Below are 26,290 nucleotides of genomic sequence, written 5' to 3' on the forward strand. Positions count from 1 at the left end.
TTTCATATTTGTAATGTCAACATCTCACATCTGGTACCAATGTATGTCTTAGTACATTTGTATGAGTATAACAAAACACCTTAGACTTGGTGAGCTATAAAAAATACTGATGTTGGAATGACTTTTCTGGGCCCAGAGCTTGGGAATGTGGGCTATGGCCTTGCGTCTGATTTCCATTTTTTTTTTATGATGTCTAAGTACCATTGAAGATGCCAGCAGTGCCTATTTTCCCGCAAATATTATTATCTTGAACAGATTCAAACTGAACTTTCCCAGGGCACTTTATTCCTGTAGGGATGGCCCAGATGCAAGATACTGTGAGTAAACAAGTGTAGAGTGTATTTTATTCCCTTAAATAATTCATCAAATTGAGGTAATAAATAAATAAATAAATAATCAAATAAATTATAATACATCATTATAAATGCGATAATACCTAGACAGTGTTATAGTATCACGAAGATAGGCGGAGGGCGAGAAATTCAAGCAGAGGAGTGAGAAGTCATTGCCTACTTCTGGTTTTGAAGCAGATGGGCCATTTGCTATAATTAAAGTAGAGATGTGTAAGAAACTGCCTGTTCTTCATTGTCTGGCCTCCTGGAGAGAACTTTTACCTTTGTTCCAATTTAATTTGGACTCGTCAGAGAAGTCATTATTTCCAGACCCACCAATTGGGTGGTGCTAAAAGAACATTACATTCTTATTTTATACATGATACAAGTCTCTATTGTACAGTATGAGTTTTTATAACCTTGGATATGAATGACTGATTAATTAGATATCACAAATTACATACTTAAAGCTGCTGTTGGTTTGAATGACTAACAAAAGGAATCTACACCTTGCACGTCAGAAAAATCAGAATAATTCAAATATCCATCATTAACCCTGTCATTCTTCTTTATTCCTTTGGCCAATGTAGGATGACCTGCAACAAAAATAAAGTAAGATCAGGGCTAGAGGTGACAGAGGTTTGTTTGCAGATTGAAGAGAAATGAAGAAAGTGATGTTTTTATTTTTTCAGTTTTGACCTAGATAATTTGGATTTTCTTGTAATAATTGTAATAATGAAATGGTTGTTACTGAAGTTATTTAATAAAATTGGTTATTGCATGTCTGACCCCTCAGTTCCTCATTGAAACAAAAGTTTTAAGACCTTTCTAGATCATGTAAGATTTCTCAAGAGTGCAAGTATGACATTATCAAGGGAAATGCATTTTATTTCTGAACACAACTAAAAATTCAGGTAGATATAGGTCTGAAACTTACATGGTACCTAACACATATAATTAATTTTGTAAATGACTGACTCATGAATACTATGAAAATTGTAATTACAAGATAAAAATATCAGATATGATATTCCATACATATACTTATATCACCTTGTATCAATCACTAATATATTTTAACTTTGGAAGCATTGGCTTTAGTAAGGAGATATGTGTGTGTAGTTATAAACATATATTTATATGCATTTTGATATTATATTTACATGCATTTTGATATTAAGCATTATTATTTTTTGTTCTGGGAAAAGAAAAAGTCCTCTATCATTTATTAATTTTAAAAATTGAGTTTTAGTGGCCTGCATAATCTTACATTAGTACATTGAATTTGTAGGTATACATTCTTGCAATATATTCACTATATATTAGAAAAATGTCTATAGACTTCATGAAACACAGCTGTGGTAAAGTAGGTCAAAATTCTTTTCATAACAAATCTAATGTGTACTTGAATATAACATTTATTAAGAAAATTAGAACTCTTTCTTATAATCCAGGTCAATGCCAAGCTTACTTTGGAAATGTGAAGTGAAACATTAATTTACTTAAATTATTTATTTGAAAGCATAAAATATTTTAAGTACTGGTTTGGTAAACTATTCAAAGAATTGATGCGAAAAGGTAGTATTTACTTCATTTATAAGATAATTTATCTACTCTATTTTATTAATAGATTTTAAACTTGGCCAAAAAAATGGATAGACATACATTTTGTAAAGAAGTGTGTTTTTAATTTACCTTCTCATAGCAATATAGAATAAACACAATTATCTAATGTGCTTGAGTTTTAAATATTGAGGCCTTATCTGTCTTTTTAAATGTAATTATGTCAATATATTTTACATTTTTTAAGGGTTGTGTTAAATATTGGTCAAAATTGTAGACACTTTAATTTTATTGATTGTAGAAAAACAACACGGAGGAGTTTCTGCACTGGAACACAAGCCTTCCGCCTGCCCCACAGGCCACCCAGCCACCAGTATGGTTTTTTGTGCTGTGGTGAGAGGATGGGGTATGTGCTACTTATCCTCATTCCACACTATGTGATTCCAATTTTATTCTGGGTTCTGGTGCACAAAAGGGTGAGTCTACGAATAGACCAACTTTGAAGGACTTACAAAGGTAGACATATATTATCTATACACATCAAATTGTTTTATAAAAGTGCATTGATCAAAATTGTACCTTTATATATAAGAAGAAGCAATGTAAACTGCCTGGTTAAAAATTATTCACTAAATTTTGGGTATGCATATTCACTATTGGGATGAATATAGAAGTAAAATAACAACAAAAACACATCAAACTAAAAACTTTGCATTGGGTATACTTTTGGTGCCATTTGCACATGCTTTCTACTTGCCTTAGATTGGCTTGATCACACTTGCTCCCTGAGCTTTTTGTTCAGTAAATAGCATTGGCTAGCTCTACCATTGCCTGGTGCCCTAAGACAGGCATGTTATTCTCTCCAGAGGAAACACAGGCAATATTTGTGCTTGCAAAAGATAGAAGGGCATCTCTTTGCCAATTAAGGCACGGATTTCAAAAGTGAGTCCCATGAGATTGCACCCACATTGAATACTTGCATTTAAGCTTTACCTCTATTTTTCTAGAGTATCCAGGTTATAAAATGTCTGCATCTGAAAAAGTCTTATATTATGCTTTTTCTATAAAAACCCCAACAAGCTTCAGCTTTTGTTATATAGATACAGAATATAATTTATATGAATTAATTTTAATAAAATATTTATTTCATTTACATGTTGTATTAGTCAGGGTTCTCTAGAGGGACAGAACTAATAGGATATATATACATATATATATATCTGAACATGTATATGTATAAAGAAGAATTTATTAAGTATTAACTTACATGATCACAAGGTCCCACAATAGGCTGTCTACAAGCTGAGGAGCAAGGAGAGCCAGTGCAAGTCCCAAAACTGAAGAACTTGGAGTGCAATATTTGAGGGCAGGAAGCATCCAGCATGGGAGAAAGATGTAGGCTGAGGGGCTAGACCAGTCTCTCCTTTTTACGTTTTTCTGCCTGCCTTATATTCCCTGGCAGCTCATTAGATGGTGCCAACCAGATAAATGGTAGATCTGCCTTCTCCAGCCCACTGACTCATCCTTCAATCCAATCAAGTTGACAGTATTAACTATCACAAGTCCACCCCTTGTCAACTTGAACTCATACACATCTGAGATCATACATAATCTTCAAATAAAGACAATAATAAGGTCCTAATTATGCCTAACATACTATAACTATCCTTCATACAACCAGAAACACACCAATCCCCAACTCAAATACTATTACATAAAGTTAACAATACTTAAATGCTGACGTGAAGTCAGTAAGTATTATGACATATGATAAAGGAAAAGGAAATAAAATAAAGATGATTTCTTAGTACAAGTGTATACATGCACAAACATGTTTTTAACAAAAGAAGGAGGAAATTCTCATGACAGTTATAGTCCCCATTTCTGCAACTGGTCACATGGTCATAACTGGTATTGATGACTACCTTCTTCTACTACCCATTCTGTATTCCCTTTGCCTTCAGCAAGCACCTCAGCAGGTCATGGTTTTTTTCCCTGGTGGGAGTTACCCAAACCTTTATTCCTGAGGGGTCTGGGCCATTCGTAGTCCTGCCTGGATTGGGCTGTTGTAGTTTCCCATGGACCTTAATCACAGGACATGGTAATACTAAGAGATGTCTTAATGGTCTCCTGTACTCCATGCATACTCCTTACCTCCATTGTGGAGTAGTAGACTGATTTCATCTTGATAATCTGGGCCAACCACCCCATCCAACACTGTAACTCCCTTCTTTGCCTATTGACTTAAAAGTAGGAGGAGCCCAAAGTGTCCAGGTGGCAATCTTAACTTCCAGTTTAATGGAATTCTTGTTGTGTCTCCTGGTGGCAGCATTCCTCCCTCTGGAACTAAGAAGTCTAGGCCAGCAGAACATAGTGTCATGGGAATAGGAAGCAAAAATTGTCCTAGTGAATCCCTAGGGGTGATGGTGAGTGGTGCCACTTCAACTTCCACCCCTTGATTCCTGGGCCCATGAATCCTGGCTATGAGAGAAACAGTACCATATATTGGATGCTGGTTTAGAGCATACGCAACCTTCTGGAGAACTTTGCCTCAGCCCTGCAAGTATTGTCACCTAGTTGGCATTGTAACTGTGCCTTCAAAAGGCTGTTCCATCATTCTTTCAATCCAGCTGCTTGAGGATGATAGGGAACATGGTAAGATCTGTGAATTCCATGAGCACAAGCCCACTGCCGCACTTCTTTAGCCGTTAAGTGAGTGCCTTGGTCAGAGGCAATATTGTATGGATAAGGCATTCCATGAGTCCACCAATGGCAGTCTTGGCAGAAGCATTGCATGCAGTACAGGCAAACCCATATCCAGAGTAAGAGTCTATTTCAGTGAGGACAAGGCTCTGCCCTTTCCATGATGGAAGAAGTTGAATATGATCAACCTGCCACCAGGTGGCTTGCTGATCACCCCAAGGAATGGTGCTATATCGAGGGCTCAGTGTTGGTCTCTCCTGCTGGCAAATTGGGCACTCAGCAGGGGCCATAGCCAGGTCAGCCTTTGTGAATGGAAGTTCATGTTGCTGAGCCCATGTGTAACCTCCATCTCTGCCACCACGGCCACGTTTTTCATGGGCCCATTGGGCGATGACAGGGGTGGCTGTGGAAAGAGACTGAGTGGTGTTCACAGAAGGGGTCACCCTATCCACTTGATTATTGAAATCCTCCTCCACTGAGTTCACCCGTTGATGAGCATTCACAGGGGATACAAATATCTTCACAGTTTTTGACCACTCTGAGAGGTTCTTCCCCAAATTTCTTTGTCACCAATTTTCCAACCATGCTTCTTTCAATCCCTGACCATCCAGCAAAATCACTGGATATGGCCCATGAATAAGTATATAATTGCACATCTGGCCACTTCTCCTTCTATGCAAAGTGCACAACCAGGTGCACTGCTCAAAGTTCTGCCCACTGGGAAGGTTTCCCTTCACCACTGTCCTTCAGGAATGTCCTAGAAAGGGGCTGTAGTGCTGCAGCTGTCCACTTTCAGGTGGTGCCCGCATATTGTGCAGAACCAGGCCCTAGTATTCTCTTCCTCTGTTGACTGATTATAGGGAACTCTCCATGAGGCCATTAGTGCAGGCTGAGGGAGAGAAGGCAGAGTGGCAGGAGTGGAGACCATGGGCATTTGAACCACTTCCTCATGTAACTTACTTGTGCCTTAAGTACCTGCTCAAGCCCGATCATGTATATACCACTTCAATTTGATGATGCAATGCTGCTGTGCACGATCCACTCTATGGCTAGATGGGTCAGAAAGCCCCCAGTTCATGATAGACAATTCAGCTCTCACGGTGACTTGATGACCCATAGTCAAACGTTCAGTTTCCACCAAAGCCCAGTAGCAGGCCAAAAGCTGTCTCTCAAAAGGAGAGTAGTTATCTGCAGAAGATGGAAGGGCTTGCTCCAAAATCCTTGAGGCCTCCGCTGTGATTCACCTTTGGGGGCCTGCCAAAGGCTCCAAACAGCATCCCTATCTTCCACTGACACCTCAAGCTCCATTGGATCTGCTGGATCTGGGTCATATGGCCCAAGCGGGAGCAGCTTGCACAGCAGCCTGTACCCGTTGCAGAGCCGTCTCCTGTTTTGGGCCCACGCAAAACTGGCGTCCTTTCAGGTCACTCGATAAACGGGATGGAGTAACACACCCAAAAGAGGAATGAATGTGTTTCCTCCAAAATCCAAATAGGCCAACTAGGCATTGTGCCTCTTTCTTGGTTGTAGGAGGGGCCAAATGCAGCAACTTATCCTTCACCTTAGAAGGAATATCTTGACAGGCCCCACACCACTGGATCCCCTGGAAATTTTACTGAGGTAGAAGGTCCCTGAATTTTAGTCAGATTGATTTCCCATCCCCTGGCACGCAAATGTCTCACCAATAAGTCCAGTGTGTTTGCTACTTCTTGCTCACTGGATCCATCCACATCATGTCATCAGTGTAATTGACCAATATGATATCTTGCAGAAGAGAAAAGCAATCAAGGCCTCTCTGAATAAGATTATGACACAAAGCTGGAGAGTTATATACCCCTGAGGTGGGCAATAAAGGTATATTGCTGGCCTTGCCAGCTGAAGGCAAATTGCTTCTGGTGGGTCTTATGGACAAGAATGGAGAAAAAGGCATTTACAAGGCTGCATAGCAGGTACCAGGAAATGTGTTAATTTGCTCAAGCAATGAAACCACATCTGGCACAGCAAGTGCAACTGGAGTCACCACATGGTTAAGTTTACCATAATCCACTGCCATTTTCCAGGATCCATCTGTCTTCTGCACAGGCCAAATGGGAGAGTTGAACAGGAATGTGGTAGGAATCACCACCCCTGCCTCTTTCAAGTTCTTCATTGTGGCACTAATCTCTGCATCCCTCTAGGGATGCCATATTGTTTTTCATTTAATTTACTATTGATTTTGTTTTGATTTACTATTTTTCTAGGTAGAGGCAGCTCTGATGGCTTCCCTTTGGCCATTCCAACCATAATAGCCCTCAGCCTACCAGTCAGGGAGCCAATGTGGGTGTTCTGCCAGCTGTTAAGTATGTCTATGCAAGTTATGCATTCTGGCACAGGGAAAATGACCATAGGATGAGTCCAGGGACCCACTGGACCCACTGTAAGTCGGACCTGAGCTAAAACTCCATTAATTGCTTGATCTCCATAAGCACTTACTTTAAGTGGAGGATTACAATGACCTTTTTTGGCTAACACCTATAATCCCAGCACTGGGAGGCCAAAGCAGACAGATCATCTGAGGTCAGGAGTTTGAGACTAGCCTGAACATGGTGAAAACCCGTCTCTACTAAAAATACAAAATTAGCTGGGTGTGGTGGTGCATGCCTCTAATCCCAGCTACTCGGGAGGCTGAGGCAGGAGAATCGGTTGAACCTGGAGGTGGAGGTTGCAGTGAGCTGAGATCCCGCCATTGCACTCCAGCCAGGGCAACAAGAGCAAAACTCCGTCTCAAAAACAATAACAACAAAAACAAAAACACAATGATGTTTTGGGTCCCCTGGAATCAACGTCAGTTCAGAGCCAGTGTCCAGTAGTCCCTGAAATGTCTCATCATTTCCCTTTCCCCATTGCACAGTTACCTGGTAAAGGCCAGAGGTCTCCTTGGGGAAGGATGGGAGAAAGATTCACTGCATATTGTCGGTAATGTAGTGGGGTCCTTCCTAAACAGGATCCACCCTCCCCGTGCATTCAAGATGTTCTGGGTCTGTAAACTGACTCATGTCTGGAAATTGTTTGAGGGGCCGTGATTCTCTGTTTTTATAATTCAAATTAATATTTTGTCCATTCGACCTAGAAATTTTCTGCTTATATAAATTAAACAGGAATGCTGCAGTCTTCCTATCAATTTCAGCTCTAGAAACACTGTGATTAATTAGCCAATGCCAGAGCTCTACACGAGTCAGACTATTCTGATTGCCACTTTGCCTCTGCTGTCCATTATGGTAGCTATGCCTACCTTGAGGTTGATAGTTGAGTGCTGTCACTTGGTGCCTACCACCTCAGCATCCAATTATTCCCATTGTATTTAAATTTTGTAGTTGTGTGACTTAGGTTCCCACCGTTAGATCTGAAATAGAGAGACGAGCAATTACAGGGCTCTTCAACGATGCAGGCGCTGCCCTCACTATTTCACAAGGCATCGGTCAAGGGTATATCTTCTGGACCCTCCCAGCTGGGACGTGTAGGTCTAAAGTGACTAATCCATTCCACCATCCCAAGCTCCCTAAGCCTTTGGATCCCTTCCTTGACATTAAACCTAGGGAGATCAGGCATTTCCAGCTGACTCACAGTGGGCTATCTTTTAATCCATATTTCAGCTAACCAAGCAAATAAACTGTTAGAACCTTTTTTAATTCCCTGAGTGCAGCACTAAGACAGAGTCCCTACTTACTGGGCCCAAATCAATAAATTCAGTCTGATTCAACTCTATGTTCTTCCACAATTATCCCATACTTTTAATATCCATTCCCATGCCTGTTCCTCAGATTTCTGTTTATATAAATTAGAGAACTCAAACAGTTCTTTTTGAGTGTAGTGCACCTCCCATGGGTCACACTCTCAACCTCGCCTCTAGGGGCCCATAGGGACTTTAGTCTAGTTATAGGTCTAGAAGCAAACAGAAGGGTTGGGGTGGCTGCTGAGGAGAACCAACATTATCTTGCCTGGCAACTGCCTCAGGAGAGGCCATCATTGTTGCCTCAAGCAGCGCAGGGTTTATCTCCTCAGACAAAAGTGGAAAGGCTGACGGCAGCATGAGTTGGGGAGGAAATTATGCCACTACTGGGGATGGGGAAGCTGTTCCTTCTGGCAAAAAAGGTTCATCAGAGTTCACAAACTCAGTGTCCCCAGCTTCATCAGGGTCCTCCCACACATCCCCATTCCAACTTGCAGCATCCCATTATTTTCCAATCAATGCCCTCACTTTAACAGTAGACACCTGGCAAGGCTGTGCATGCATCTTTCCTTGCAGGTACACCACTCACTCGTATGATAAGAGCTTGTCTGTTTTTTCACAGTTTCAGCTCTTTCTCTACAGGAGATAAGACTCTCACTCAGGGCAATCTTAGCAGATTTGAGGCTCAGTGTCTGCTTCTGAAGCTAGAAGACAGAAGCTCTAAGTTCATCATTTTCTTTCATCATTATGTCCACTGAACTTAGGAGCAGCCAACCACCTTCATTATTTTCCTTGGATCTCCACATATAGTCAAAGGTATTATGTATAGAGTCACTAAACTTCTTGCCTCTTAGCCAGTGGTGAATCAGGAGTGTCAAATGCATTTATTTTGCACTACTCTCTTGACAGTTCACGCCAAGGACTATCAGTGTTCTCCATACTGTGAGAAGTAGAGTCTTTTGCATTTTTGGATCTAATCATATTAAGCAGCCAACTCCAGATAACCCCAAAACCAGTGAAAGAACTCCATCCTTAATATTCTGTTTCTCTATAACCCTTCCTCGTAACAAAATCTTTATTAGTCAGGGTTCTCTAGGACAGAACTAATACAATATATATATAAAGGGGACTTTATTAAGCATTAACTTACACAATCACTAGGTCCCACAATAGGCTGTCTGCAAGCTGAGGAGGAGGCAGAGCCAGCCCGAGTCCCAAAACTGAAGAACTTGGAGTCTGATGTTTGAGAGCAGGAAGCATCTAGCACGGGAGAAAGATGTAGGCTGGGAGGCTAGGCCAGTCTCTCCTTTTCAAGTTTTTCTGCCTGCTTTATATTCGCTGGCAGCTGATTAGGTTATGCCCATGAGATTAAGGGTGGATCTTTCTTCCCCAACCCAGTGACTCAAATGTTAATCTCCTTTGGCAACACTCTCACAGACACACCCAGGATCAATACTTTGTATCCTTCAATCCAATCAAGTTGACAGTATTAACCATCTCACATATATATTTTGGAAGCTAATAATTCTCCCAAAGGTATGATTTTCTTTTATTTAAATTTCTATTTTTCTACTAAAATAACAACATTAACAACAATAAAGATAACACAAAAGCTATAATATATTAAGATACTTCAGAATAAATGCAAAGTAGACAGATGTTAAACACAAAATTAGTTTATGTTGTGCCAGGCTAGGTTTTTATTAAGACTTTATGTCTACTTTGTATCTATCCTATGAAGCTCTTTTCTTTTTGTCTTTATTGGTATTTTCATATTTATAGCTTACTTGATTGTTTCATGATCTGGCCTTCGTGTGAGTGTGTGTGTGTGTGTGTGTGTGTGTATGTGTGTAACTTTAGAAGTCTGTTATATCATGGTATGAATTAACTGCCTAATAAATAATCACTATAATTTTTACTCATTTTAGCAAGTATAACTTCGGATTTTTTAAAATGTATTTTTATAATATATGGCTCACTGAATGATAAAATATCAGAGAAAAATTAGAAATGAAAATACATGAAAATTCCTGAGAGTAGGCACTACTTTAGGGAATATAAGAGGCATTGTTTCCCTGAATTCAGAATAAGATCATGTCTCTAATGTAGGATAATATGATAGAAAGAAGCAGTGGACTGAATGCAAATGACAACGTTTAGTATTCTCTGTGGTAGGAAAAGGGATTAGGGAATATTTCGTTCATCTTAACAATTTTTTTAACTCATTATCTGTACAATAAGAGATTTGAACAAGATATTCTCTAGGGTCTATTCTAATTGCAAACTTTTGTAACTTTAATGGAAAACAATTTAAAAATAAATCAAAGTTTGTTTCTAATGAATGCTATTTCAAGTTTCATTGAATAGTTTAAATGAATAATATCGCATCGGAAGGATCCCAGAAGACCTTAATAACAAAAAATAGTGGTTAGGGGGGAACACCACTGTGAGAGAGTAGAACATTTTTTTCTTCTCAGTTATTACTAAAAATCTTTAGTTTCTATTTCCCATTTGATCTGATTTTATACAGGTCATTATAAATGTCTCTTTGCTTCATTGTTTTAATTTCCCCAGTATTATAAAAAAGTAACAAAAAAGTCAATAAATTGGGCAATTCTGTAATATGTATTTTGATAATTCTGAATCTACCTGCATGCATAATTGTTTCTGATAATAAATATTGGTTGGTTGAATTGATAAGAATTCCAACAATTAACCTAGAAAGTGTTTAATCTGATTTGACTTGGTGAGATAGCTTCTTTACAGGTTGTTACAATGGAGAGGGAAATTTCTGGGTAAAAGATTATTAAAAGGAAAACAGGCAAAATCTGTAGCGTTAAATAATTTTGTTGATGAAAATTTAAAAGTCCCAGAAAATGTGAGGAAAAATCAACCATAAATCACAGAATTTATATATATATATATATGTGTGTGTGTGTGTTCGCACGTATATATAGCCATACTCTAAATCTCTGTTGTGAATTAAGAACTCACGTTTCTTTGAATGCATACATTGTTTCATTATTTGTGCTTAAATAGTGAAACACAGATGGCAGCTGTTTTAATTTTTCCTTTATCAACACCAGATAGATTTGGACTTTTCTTTACTTGTAAGAAAACTCTACATCCTTCTCATTTTTTCTGTGAATTTCATGAGGTTTATGTTTTCATGTACACTTCAGACCTCATAATTTTACTTTGCAAAATCCTAAATAGTTACTCATGTTATCATATGACTATGACTCAGACATTGTACTTCTTGGGTTTTTTAAATCCAGAAGGGTAACTGAGACCATTTCTCTGATTTCCACTGAAAACAAGAACACAATAATCCAGAAAGACAGAAAAAAAGAAAGAAAAGAACAAACGAAAGAAAGAAAGAGAAAAAAAAGAAGGAGGGAAATCAAATCCAATGAGAAATTTGGGGTTTTATAATTCATAATAGAAATGAAAAGATCTTCAAAGAGACCTTTTCAAGAACTGTGAAGTGTCTGTGATGTTGCCTTACTTGCAAGCAATTTAGCTTGCCATACAGTTAATTGCATGCTGGAAGAAGACAAAATCTTATTGGTTCAGTGAAACAGACTTCATTACTCAGGGCACAGCACACAGCATGAGATTCATGTTTGTTTAGATTCTTCTTGCCCCACGAGTCTCTCTGTGGCGATATGGAGGGGAGGGCTATTCCAGCTGAATGGTACACATCTAGTGGCTTTAAGCTCCAGCTGAGAAAGCCCAGGCTTAAGAAACGCCATCTGTAGTAAGTGGGCTGCAAGGAAATCAGCTCAACCTTTCCAACAGATGGAAACTATCTTTCTTAAACTAGACAACAGACAAATCAGTCCTCTGCTCTGGAATGAGACAATATCTCTCTTTTCCAAGGCATTTGGTTATACAAGTAATCTCAAAAAGATAGTCCAGAACAAAAGTTGTCAACAACTCTGCTCAAAAGAGATAGAGAAATGAGAGAGAACTATGAACAATAGTTTTCTGATTGTCTCATTGTATGTTAGTTCTATAAAATGGTCTGAGGATGATGCTTTTTGTTCCTTATCCCTTTCTTTTTCTTTCAGAGTTTGCTTTATTCTATTCTCCAAGTGCCTTTTATTTCTACTGTTAAGCAGATCAACTAATCTTGCTTTCAGTGGCTTGTATTAAACAATATTCTGAAAAACTTATATTCTACTCCAAGGAATAAATTAATATTTTTAATTAAAATGATTCTTCGGTCTTACAGTGGAATTAAATTCCTAGTTAACAGGAAATTATTTTTCCATACTACTTCAATAATTATTTGCCAAACCTAGAGATCACACATTTTGTATTTATTTGTTTCATTTCAAGGAACGACAAATATATCTATACGTGTAATTCTGTTAAGATTACACAACCAAAATAATTTCATATGTAAATTAATGCCAGAGGCCTTCAGATCCAGAAAAAGAAAAAGATGTTGCTAGCTTCTAATCCCAAGATTCAAGCTAGTGCTTATGTTTCTAAAATTATTTACCTTTACTGGTAGAGTTAATAAATGAAAAAAAATTGAGGTATTTGTACATTACCTTGGATATTTCAAATATAGAGAGAACATGTCAAAATTGCCTAAATTACAAAGAAGAACTCCCTTGAGCAATTAGAGTGACTGGCATGAGGAAGTAGACATGAGACATGTATGAAAGAATAAGAAAAAGAGTAAAAAAACTTTAAATATGTAAGTAAAATATCAATGGAACATAATAAGTGAAATAAAATGTACACTTGAAAATCTTAATTGAAACAATCTGACACAATGTGGCAAAGCAAAATTTTAATGAAAGTCATATAATATATAAGCACAAATATATGTATGTTTGTGTGTAAATACAAATAAATCATGTTTATAAATAAAATACAAATAATCTTTTGTATTTATAAACAAATCATATATGCATATATCATATAACATATATACATACGCACAGAGAGGGAGAGAGAGAGAGAAATCATAGTATCTGAATTTGGTAGCTGCATTATGAGGAAATAATGATATCTATGAAGATAAAAATATGAAAGAAAAGCAATAAACGTTATTTTGCTCTCTGTAATTTAAAATATTTAGTAACTGTTTTGAGATAATAAAAAAGAACCATTTTAGTAATAATATAAATATTTTAGTTGTCCTCTGATATAATGTCTGGCACCTCCCTACATTTCACGTATTTAAATCATTTAAAGATATAAATATATGTTAAGGTCTAATTATATCATAAAAGTCTGAATCACCTTTAAGTAATTTACTATTTCATTCATGTAAGGGATGCATAAATATGCTTGCTGAAAAACCTTTTTAATACGAAATATACTGACTGGTCATGGGTATAATGGCTACATTCCAATGCTTCTGAATGGCCCTTTGTTTGTTTGTTTAAGATAAATATTATCTATAAACTACTAAAAGCCATAGGAGAAATGGACTGGCAAATCTGAATTTCTGTATTCATAATTTGGCCAGGTTAATGGCAAGCTCTATGATCCTGGCCAAGATTGTTCCTCATTATGTTTATACACCTTCATAGTGAGCCTATTGGCGAACATGACGCCTGTGTTATATTTGGGCTTCCAAATTCTATGTTAATGACAGAATCCTGCTCTCTAAAGCAAACCTTGCTTACAGTCCATTGCAGTCCTGCTTTCATGTGGAGTGTTCACTTCTGCAACATCAAGAGGAAGTCTCCCATTTCTAACTCTTGATTTAACGGATGAGTCAAATTTGACCAATACAACAAAGCAGACAGGGTTGCAATGTTTTACATGAAAAACATCTGAGCGTGCTATGGTTACAGGCAACAGTTCATTTTGATAATTTTTAAAAGGAAAATATAAATAAAGAAATGACAGAGAATAGGATGATTTTACAAAGGTGAATTAACCATGGAATCACAGAAAAAAAGATAACTAAAGTACCTAAATATACAATTATTCTGGGTTTCCTGGGAACTTTAACAATTTTGTTTTCAGATCTACTTTATTTCATTTTTTTCCTCATCTGTTTTCCATGTTATTTTATATTTTGTAGATCCTTTCTGAAGCATCTAAAAACTCTCAAGATTGGGAAATCTAAAAATATCTCTGCAAAATATAAAGTCCTTGTTAAATAAAAAACAAAAAACTTCAAATATACATTTGAAGGTATAATACTACATAATGCAAATTTGAGGCAACATTATTTATGAACAATGTGATACAAACAAACAAAACAGACATTTTAATTCATAATGGCAATAAGACAGTTATCAGGAAAATTAATAAATGACCTACAAATATCAAGTAGTATTTTCCTTAGATTTAAGAGATACATTAAATATTCAACTAACATACACAATTCCAAAGCTATTGCTGAAGAAACTAAGGTAATGGAGAACTGGATGTTATTACTGAAAGATTCAGTATTTGCAATATCTAGCATTTTGTTCAGCTTTACTTCCTCTGGTACACTTGAATGTCTAAAATCTACTCCCCTACTTTGAATCAAAGACCTTAAGAAATTTTAAATACAAGAAAACTGTCCATCAAAACTGCAGTTTTTGAAAAAAAAGTTTTACAAGAAAATCAGTGTTGAAAATTTTACTTAAGACTTTGAAAAGTAACTGAATTTCCAATCACATAGCAACACTAACAAGATAATTAAAGAAAAAAATGCCAATTGAGTTATAAGAATCACCAAAAATTAAGATCAAAAGAAACTTCCAGAGAGAGTTTTATTTCATACTATAAATCTCATAAGGGGAAGAATTTTGGCTTATAATTCTTTTTTCATCCTTAGAACCTAGAACTTTGAGGAACATATTAGTAACTAATGATGACATTTTCTTGACTAGTACAATCAAAATGATATTAGCTTCTTTCCCCCAAAAAAGAGCAACCTTGGTCAAATTGGGATATATAACTTTTTGTTTTATTTTTAGAAAAATATATATTGAAGCATTCTAATTGAGGAAATATATTTATCATATTTTAACTTTCTAAAATATTTTTCTCAAATAATTTTCTCTTATTATTTAGTTCTTGCTTAAAAGTGAGAACATGTGGTATTCGGTTTTCTGTTCCTGTGTTAGCTTGCTAAGTATAATGACTTCCAGCTCCATGCATGTTCCTGCAAAGAACTATTTTTTATGGCTGTATAGTTTTCCATGGTGTGTATATACCACATTTTCTTTATCCAGTCTATCATTGATGAGCATGTAGGTTGATTCCATATCTTTGCTATTGTGAACAGTGCTGAAATGAATATATGTGTGCACGTGTCTTTATAATAGAATGATTTATATTCCTTTGGGCATACACCCAGTAATGGGATTGCTGAGTCAAGGGCTATTTCTGTCTTTTACACACAGACACGTAGAAGGAAATGACAAACACTGAGGCCTTTTGGAGGGTGGAGGGTGGGAGGAAGGAGAAGATCAAATAACTAATGGATACTAGACTTTATACCTGGGTGATGAAATAATCTGTACAACAAATCCCCATAACACAAGTTTACCTATGTAACAAACTGCACTTGTACCTCTGAACTTAAAATAAAAATTAAAAAATAAAATAACTAACTAAAACAAATGAAAATAGTAAATTTCTCTTATTTTCCTTACGTAGTTTAAAATAAGGTCTTTCACTTAAAGATGGTGGATTTAACATGTGTTTTCCTTAATACTTTCTGAATTCCCAACAATAAAAAACACAATAAAAAGACCTGAAAAGGAGGAAAGCATGCAGTTTACAAGAACGAACGGAATAGTAGAAAAATGGCAGGTTAAATTTTTTTTCTTGAAAGTTGAAAAGCAAATAAATTTGTGATAATTGACTTAGACTGAGAAAGCAGAGATAAAAACCAATAGGAAGCTCAGATGTCATCTATGCGTCTTGCAAAATCTAGAATAGGTTCAGGTTCTTATGACACCAAGTGCCCTCAAAGTGGCTGCAAGGTTTAATTTAGGAGAATGGTTTGAAAGATACAAATAGGCTTCTAGAAAATTACCCACCAGAGGTAATATGTACTTAAGGAAATCAGGCACAGCTGAGGTGGGACTACCATATGGAAAATCGAAAGATTAAAAGATAATGTGTTAATTTAATGATGCGGCCGTTGTTCCAGCTCTATTCTCCTACTTTAAATCTAGCATGCAAAAATTCAAGCTTTCGCCAACAAGTAAGATGAATGATAGTTTTTTAAATGAAGAAAATAATGATACCAGAGAAAAGCATCTAGTTAATGGCATTTCTTTGTCCTCAAGGGAAAACTCAATAATACCACACCCTAAATTGAGGACCCTTTGATTAGTCTTCCTGTACAAATGCATAGTAGTCTCTTTCCCTGTCTTACTCTTCAACATAACCTGCCAGCTAAGATGGCCAAAATTAGAGAAAATTATATGCTATGAAAAAGAGTAAAATCAAACTAAATGACAAACAAATTGCAGCAGATAGTCCAAACAAGAAGCAGGAAATGTTTTTTAAAACTCAATATTTTCATAGAGATAAAAGAAGATAAAACACCCATATATCTAGGACAGTATGCCATTAAAATAAATAAATAAATAAAAACAAAACCAAAATAGTTGATTTAGGTAAAAAAGTAAATATGATATTTGTAGTATTTCAAAAGTAGATATCTGAAACGGTATTTTTCTTTCTTCCTAAAATAGACATTACTACATTCCCCCATAATTCAATACAATCTAGCAAATATGAGTAGAAGTAAGGAGCAGAACATACCTAAAACTTAACACATTCTAGCAAAGAAATTCACTCACTATTCTCTTTTAAATTACCCAGCACATAGCAGATTTTTAGTTTGCTTTGAATTGAAAGAACTGATTTCTCTGAGAAATAGCATAATATGTTTGCTTAGGTGTACCATTCCAACAAATAATTCAAATACTCAAAGTCAGTAGAACCTAAATCAAAAGCAGAAATATTAATTTCCTTTTAAAATATTTAAATGTTTAAAATGTTACATTACTTTAGGTTTATAATCTGAAAAAAAAAGTATATATTCATAGTACTGCTTATGCATATTTAATCACATATTTCTAAAGCAGATAATCTAAACTCAGTATAGTAATCAAATTTTAGAGAAAATCTAAAATTTTAGTATAATATGTACTCTAAATTTTTTTTTTAATTTTTAACATAATGTGTAGTTTTTTGAAATTAAATTTTGAACCCATGAATTTTGGTTTTATTAAGAGTAAGCCAGAATGCCATGAACTCAAAAATGAAAAACATCAAATTAAATAACAATCACAATAATACTCTGGGATTTAAAAATTAACAAAAGATCAAACTGAGGAAATGAATTAGGTATTTAAGTAGTTTTGTTTGGTTGGAGTTATGAAAGATTACATAAATGAATAGGCAAGTACAAATAGTGTGATTTATTTTGCCACAGAAAATAATGGAAATTCTGAGTTGTTTATTTAAATTTTGCACTGAAACATAATAAAAGTATAAAGCATAAACTAACTGAAAAGTTTCTAAACTTCTACACTCTAACATTGACATATTTCAATTTAGTAAAGACTTTTAGCCACTTTAACAAACAACAAAGCCAGCTGACATTTATGCAAGCAGCTCTTTTCTCTTTCCAGTAACAGCTTAAAATTGTCTTTTTGGAAAACACCATACAATTTAATTATTATTGAACAGTCAGAAGGATTAGTTAGTAGAGAATATAAATCAGCAGTTTTATTAAAGCATGAAATTAAATACCTCATATAGAAGACAAAAGCCTCAAGAGTTTAAAGATGGTGCTATTGACATATCAGTTCATTCTAATATAAGTGATTAGTAGTTGCATTTATATAAATGGTTGGAAGGGTCCGGTGGTATTAAGTGCACACACCAAATAATTCTATCAAAATTTTTAAATGTCTTAAGCTTATATTCATTTAACAGCTCAATTACATATTCTCATTCACATAAAACACCCAGGGCAAATTTTCATAACTGAGGGAAATGAGGAATTGAGATGATTATCCCAATAATTTAGACTCAAAATCACACTAGGGGTTCCAAGGAACTGGAAAGCGGGAACAATTTATACTTTGAATCAAAGAAGCAATATTCTATGATAGTTTCCTAACTTATGTAACTAACTCTTTTGGCTCACATGTTTTTTCAGAAACCTGAGGAGGGGAAAGGAGAAAAGTAATCTTTGGGGCAGGCATGACCAGGTGATGGGCAACTATTAAGTGACCTGAGTATGTCCTTCATTCCTCTGCTGAACTGAAAACTGTGTTATCCTTTCTATTAAAAATAGTCTAATTACATGCAGCTGAGCAAAACATCAGGTTTTCTACAAAAGATCCACAACATAAATTCTAGTAAATTAAGAAAAAAACTTGGCCAGGTGCGGTGGCTCACGCCTGTAATCCCAGTACTTTGGGAGGCCGAGAAGGGGGGATCATGAGGTCAGGAGATCGAGATCATCCTGGCTAACACGGTGAAACACCGTCTCTACTAAAAACACAAAAAATTAGCCGGGTATGGTGGCGGGCGCCTGTAGTCCCAGCTACTCGGGAGGCTGAGGCAGGAGAATGGCGTGAACCCGGGAGGCGGAGTTTGCAGTGAGCTGAGATTGCACCACTGCACTCCAGCCTGGGCGACAGAGTGAGACTCCGTCTCAAAAAAAAAAAAAAAAGAAAAAGAAAAAAAAACTCTAAGATCTCTACATTGGAAGAGAATAAATCTGGCATATACATTGCATTCGAGTTTTGGTACCTAAATGCAGCTTTCTTATAACACATGTCAGGTTGCATGCATGAAAGTAACTTAATATTTTAGCAGTCTCCCTTAATATTATAGTCTTAGCATTCATAAGCAGGTGCTCCGCTACTTCCAAATTGTGGAGGTGGGGAACAGAAGAGAGAGATGGAGAAGGAGAGGAAGAAATTTAAAAAGGAAGCATTTGGCTGGGTATATTGGGTGGCTCATGCCTCTAAACCCAGAACTTTAAAAGGAGGCCGAGACGGGCAGATCATGAGGTGAGGAGTTTGAGACCAGCCTGACCAACATGGGGAAATCCCATGTCAATTAAAAATACAAAAAATAGCTGGACGTGGTGGCCTGCGCCTGTGCCTATAATCCCAGACACTCAGGAGGCAAAGGCAGGAGAATTGCTTGAACCCAGGAGACGGAGATTGCAGTGAGCCAAGATTGCACCACTGCACTCCAGCCTGGGCAACAGAGCAAGATTCCATCTCAAAAAAAAAAAAAAAAGAAAAGAAAGAAATGTTTTACATATTTAGATGATTTGCTGCTAAGACAATGCAAAGCTTTAGTATTATTTGAATAGATTTGCAATAATTGATATATAGGTGAGCTCACAGCTCCTCAACTTGACTGACATATTTGAGCATGTTGTTTCAAAACACCTAATGAAATTATTTTTTTTTTTGGTAGTGGATATAAGCTTTTTAAAACTTCTTTTTCTTGACAGTTGTGTAAATCTTTTAGATAAGATTTTCAAATACCAAGAGATCACTCAAACTTCAGAGGTAACAATTAAAGAAGCCTATTAAAACTAGCCTCTATAAACATGTTAAAGGCATTAAGTTCCAATCTATGTCTTCGTAGGACACAAAATAGACAAAGAAAAGTGACTATGATGTAGCCTTTGATCTGAATGTTTGTAACCCCCCCACAAACATCCCCCTGCAAAGTTCATATGTTGAAATCCAAGTCCCTGAATAATGGTGTTTGAAGGTGGGGCCTTTGGGAGGTAGTTAGGCCACAAGGGTGAAGCCTTCATGAATGGGATTAGTGCCTTAATAAGAAGCCATAGAGCTAGCTCTAGCTCTTTCTGCAAGTGAAGATGCAATGAAAACTAGTAGTCAGCTGGGCACGTTGGCTCATGCCTGTAATCTCAGCACTTTGGGAGGCTGAGGTGGGCGGATCACCTGAGGTCAGGAGTTCAAGACCAGCCTGACCAACATGAAGAAACCCCCCTCTCTACTAAAAATACAAAAAATTAGCCAGGCGCGGTGTCAGGCACCTGTAATCCCAGCTACTGGGGAGGCTGAGGTGGGAGAATCGTTTGAATCCAGGAGGCGGAGGTTGCAGTGAGCCGAGATCATGTCACTGCACTCCAGCCTGGGCGACAGAGCGAGACTTTATCTCAAATAATAATAATAATGATAATAATAATAATAATCAGCAAACTTGAAAAGGCTCCTCATAAAACCCGGTTAGGATGGTGCTCATCTCCAATTTCCATCCTCCAAGACTATGAGAAATAAGTTTCCATTATTGATAAGCCACACAGTCTATAGTACATTTTTATCATTATGGCATTTTAACAAAATCACATATCTCACTTGCATTACTTTAAATATCTTCCTCAAATATTTAAGACAATTATGTGGCTAACTTTGCATTAGACTGGGTTGACAAATTGTTATTCTATTCATACACTATATAAACAATGTATAGCATTTCATCTTTATATAAAATTTCACCCAAATTCAAGCTTGTTTTATTTATTTCCTTATTTTTGGCTAATAGTTTCAGGCAAGGAAATATCATTGGTCAATATTGAACATCAGAAATGTTGAAGTGAGTAAATTTGAAAAATCATAGCTGAAAGCAATCTAGGGAATTAAACATGCTTTGGACAACACTATTTCTCCATTTTAATTGTCTGAACTTTTTGGATGAGTCTGCTATTGCCAAGCAATTCACATGTTCATGATATAACACGAATAATGTTAAATGGCTCACTGCACTCTCATTTAAATGCAGTAGGTTATTTTTCATGATTTTGTTTATTCCTTTATTATGAAGACTGGTAAAACAAAATAAAATTCCAATCATTATAGGGGTTTAAAATAAACCAAAGTTCATCATCATAAAATGATAGAATAAACATTTTATCACAAAACTTTCACTTAAGACATAAAATGTCTTCTAGGGTTTTTATGGTTTTAGGTCTTACGTTTAAATCTTTAATCCATCTTGAGTTAATTTTTGTATAAGGTATAAGGAAGGGGTCCAGTTTCAGTTCTCTGCATATGGCTAGCCAGTTTTCCCAACACCATTTATTAAATAGGAAATTTTTTCCCCATTGCTTGTTTTTGTCAAAGATCAGATGGTTGTAGATGTGTGGTGTTATTTCTGAGTCTTCTGTTCTGTTCCACATACGCATGGGCAATGACTTAATGACTAAAACACCAAAAGCAATTGCAACAAAAGCCAAAGTAGACAAATGGGATTTAATTAAACTAAAGAGCTTCTGCATGGCAAAAGAAACTATCGTCGGAGTCAACAGGCAACCTACAGAATGGGAGAAAATTTTGCAATCTCTCCATCTGACAAAGGGCTAATATCCAGAATCTACAAGGCACTTACACAAATTTACAAGAAAATAAAAAAAAAACATCAAAACTGGGCAAAGGATATAAACAGACACTTTCAAAAGAAGACATTTATGCGGCCAAAAAACATGAAAAAAAGGTCATCATCACTGGTTGTTAGAGAAATGCAAATCAAAACCACAATGAGATACCATCTCATGCCAGTTAGAATGGCGATCATTAAAAAGTCAGGAAAAAACAGTTACTGGAGAGGTTGTAGAGAAATAGGAAGGCTTTTACACTGTTGGTGGGCGTATAAATTAGTTCAACCATTGTGTAAGACAGTGTCGCGATTCCTCAAGGATCTGGAACTAGAAATACCATTTGATCAGCAATCCCATTACTGGGTATATGCACAAAGGATTATGACTCATTCTACTACAAAGACACATGCACATGTATGTTTATTGCAGCATTATTCACAATAGCGAGAACTTGGAACCAACACAAATGCCCATCAATTTTAGACTGGATTAAGAAAATGTGGCACACATACATCATGGAATACTATGCAGCCATAGGAAAGAATGAGTTCATGTCCTTTGGAGGGACATGGATGAAGCTGGAAACCATCGTTCTCGGCAGACTAACACAGGAACAGAAAACCAAACACCGCATGTTGTCACTCATAATTGCTCATAAGTGGGAGTTGAACACTGAGAACATAAGGGCACAGGGAAGGAGGGAACATCACACACCGGGGCCTGTTGGGGGTTAGGGCTCTAGGGGAGGGATTGCATTAGGAGAAATACCTAATGCAGATGACAGGTTGATGAGTGCAGAAAACTACCATGGCACATGTAAACCTATGTAACAAACCTGCACGTTCTGCACATGTATCCCAGAACTTAAAGTATAATTAAAAAAAAAAAAAAAGGTAATGATAATCTAATTCGTGGAATTTCTGAAAAATTGACTTCTAAACTGTAAGAATAATTTGGTTTACAGCATGTTCTACCAATATGGAAGTATTTACTGAAAATATTGAATGACATACATATTTGAAAATGATAGATCTTTCCATGTACCATAAAAATTGAGTCATTGTCAACTTAGTGTTTGCTTTTCCCAAGCAAATTAAACATTTATTGCTGGAAGAAATGAAAAACATGGCTCCACAACCCTTTCTGTGTCTCACATTGGATAGTCAGTATTTTTTGCACAGAAGGACAACCATCATAAGCAAATTAAGTGATTGCCTATGACATTTCTCCCAAATATTTACAGATAATTTTTAAATGTAATTTTTCAATAACGATAAAAGGTTAAAGTGAAGACATCATTCAAAGGTGGGCATGACAGTGTAGAAACCAATTAGGGAAGGGTAGGTATATGTAAAATAGGTGAAGGGTGGGGAAATCAGAGGAAAGCCCACTAAACAGGGAGACAAGTTGCCAAGCCAGTCTGAGGATTTAACTTGTAGCTTGACTTTCAGGCTTTAAATTGTCTTCGGCTTAGAGGTGACGTTTCACCAGGGACCCACCCCTATCTGCCTAGGCATTTGGTTGCCTCCTGCCCTCTCACATTGATGAAATGCATTACGAAAATATTAAAACTAACAATACCAAATGTATAACTAGCTATATTATAAAAAAGAAAATGTAATAATGAAAACTGTTAAGATCTAATCTTTCACATATTCGGTATTCACTGGTATGAAAAAGGGTGATCTAGTGCCATTTTTATAACTTTCCCAATTAGTGAAGAATAAACACACTTGGGAACATAAATATTTAGAAGTAGGTACAACATACATAGTCAAAGATCAAACTTTTGTCCCACAATTTAATAATATTAGCAAGAAAATTAAACAAAAACAAAATAGCAAAAAATTCGGGATGAATTATCACTTTATAACTATTTAAAGCTACTTTATTACAGTAACATTTTTTCCTCTATACCTACTGAAAAATATAATACATTTTACTGGAATCACCTAAGATATCAAATTGGTTAAATTTAACATTTAAATTGTATTTTTATAACCCAGGAATTTTACATTCCACGTAAATAAATGATAATGGAGGAGTAGAATTTTCAATAACTAATATATTTACTCTTTTTCAGATAAGTGCCAATGCTGATTTTTGGTGCTAAACACATCACATACAGATTCACAGTTTGGAATGTAGCAAGCGTGTTAACATTTTCTCCTCAAGCGATATATTTTTCTGAGCTGTGTTAGAAGTGAATGTTGTGTTTCGTTAAAAAGGAAATTTGCATGTATAGCTTGTTTATTTCTAGAATGTGTTGTTGGCTTACCTTTAAAAACTCAAAATATCTAAGGCTTGAATTCTAGCTGGGTGATGGGATCATTCATACGCCAAACCTCAGTAACACAAAATTTGTCCATGTGTTGAACCTGAAGATGTACACCTTAAACCTAACATTAAAGTTGAGAGAAAAGAAATAAAATAAAATTAAAATAAAATAATAAACAAAAATATCTAATGCTTGCTTGGAATCATCTTTGTATGAGAACTCTAGAACTTGAGTAAAGAATATTGCCTTGTTGCAACAAGTTGCTTATTGAAAATCAGATTCCTTTTTATTTTTTACAGTGGATGCCTTATGATGGGTACTCCGGAAGCAGAAAATAATACAGAATGTGAGTCTTAAGGTATTTATCAGGATCCACACCTGTGAAAAGAATGGGAAGAAACAGGATTGGCAGAGGGAGAATGTGAGCTATGACAAATGTGCAGACAATTTGCAAAGAGCATGGCTTGAGATTTTCATATGAGAATTGTCCTCCATAAGGCCAAACTGGCTGGACTTTTTCTTCTCCACCTAGATCATCCCCTGAGAAGGTTGAGAGCTTGAACCAGTGAGCTGTCTGCAAATCTGGAAGATCCCGAAGTGTCTGATGACCAGGTCAACTCCCCAGAGCCATAGGACACATTTTCCCTCGCAAGAGTATGTAAGCAGCCTGTCACCATGTCTACCACAGTGTAACCCTTAGACAGATCATCTCTAATTCCACGTGAACATTGAACAGGTGGCTCTGCTATGAAGTGATGGACCACCCTTCCTGAGAGACACTTAGAATAAGGAAGTTAGTGAAACTTTGCTTATCTGGTATGGTGACCTTTACCCTGATTCATGATGTGCTTGAGCCTCCTGGTCACCATGTACCCAAAGGCTGTTTTACTTGTCCATTTACATTCATATTTTCACAAAGGAAGGCACTAAATAGATCATCTGGTTCCCAGGCATATTATTCTTTTCTCTCTCTCTGTACTAGAGCAACCTTACCTCCTCCTGATAATTAATTCCTGCCAATTTAGTACTTCTTTCTTTTGCCTACTCTTCCCTTTACCCAAAGAATCAAAATTTCACAGGAAACAGCCATCATTAAATTAAATTAAACAGAAATGTAATTTTATAATTAAATTAGAATTAAATAGAACTTTTGCTATGTCTCCTAGAGAAATTGTGCTGCCATTACAGACTGAGACCTCTAATCCTGCAGAACCCTACATGTAGGAACAAGAAGCACAAACTCAATGGATCATTGTGAATGACAGTAAGTGGGAATGCTCATGCTTCTGTGACTTGGTTCCAGGCCTATGGGTGCTTCATGCTAGGAACACAATGTCTTTGATTCATTGTGTATTCTACATCTAGAAGGATGGCACCCAAGTTTCATCTGTTATTATATTCACACTTGAATTTCATATAGACTCTGAGCAGGCAATGCTCTATGAGAGTAGAAGTTTCTGGATGGTATAAGATCAGTGGGTATCATAAACTTGAGCCCCTTTCCTCACTCTTTGCTGTAAGGCATAGAACATGAGGCCAAGGCCGTGCATGTAAGAAAAAGAAACTCAGATCCAGAATTCATGTATATTTACATGAGAATAAGCCACCCACCATTGCAGAGTAGAAAGGCTGATTTTAGGCAACTTGTCTTCAAGAGGCCATCTGATCTCCTTGAGAATTAAATTCCCGTTGGGGTTTAGCTTTCAGCTTTCTTGCTGCTGGGATAGACATTTGGTGGTGCTAATAGCTAGAATAGTCATATCGATATCTTCATACTTAGCCTCCATCTCTGCCACTAAAACCACTTTGTTCATGTGCCCAACATGCCAATATTGATGTGTCCAGTGACTAAGCCCGGCTAATAAAATTTGCTTGCTGTATTAGTCTGCTCTCATGCTGCTGATAAAGACATATCTTAGACTGGGCAATTTACAAAATAAAAATGTTTAATGGACTCACAGTTCCATGTGGCTGGGGAAGCCTCACAATCATGGCGGAAGGTCAAAGTCACATCTCACATAGCAGCAGGCAAGAGAAAAGAGCTTGTGCAGGGAAATTCCCCTTTATAAAACCACCAGATCTCATGAGACTTATTCACTATCATGAGAATAGCACAGGAAAGATCCACCCCCATGATTCAATTATTTACCACCAGGTCCCTCCCACAACACGTGGAAATTATGGGAGCTACAATTCAAGATGATATTTGGGTGGGGGCACAAAGCCAAACCATATCACCTGGCTATTTTTTATATTTGGCTCTTTATTGCATGTGCTGTGTTGAAGTGCTCTCTGGTGGGCGTTAAAATGTGATAAATATTACTCACTGTCTCTAC

General features: G+C 36.6%; 1 long non-coding RNA gene across 1 annotated transcript in view; it reads right to left on the reverse strand.

The window, feature by feature from the left end:
• Nucleotides 1-727: 727 nt before the first annotated feature.
• LINC01687 (long intergenic non-protein coding RNA 1687) overlaps nucleotides 728-26,290 on the reverse strand; it is an 89,302-nt gene continuing 63,739 nt past the window's right edge. Inside the window, exons 5-6 of the long non-coding RNA NR_109959.1 lie at nucleotides 7,870-7,980; nucleotides 728-928 (exon numbers count right to left, since the gene is read on the reverse strand). This is a non-coding gene — a long non-coding RNA (long intergenic non-protein coding RNA 1687). The remainder of the gene's footprint in view (nucleotides 929-7,869; nucleotides 7,981-26,290) is intronic.

Source organism: Homo sapiens, chromosome 21 (assembly GCF_000001405.40).
Source record: "Homo sapiens chromosome 21, GRCh38.p14 Primary Assembly".
NCBI lineage: Eukaryota > Metazoa > Chordata > Mammalia > Primates > Hominidae > Homo > Homo sapiens.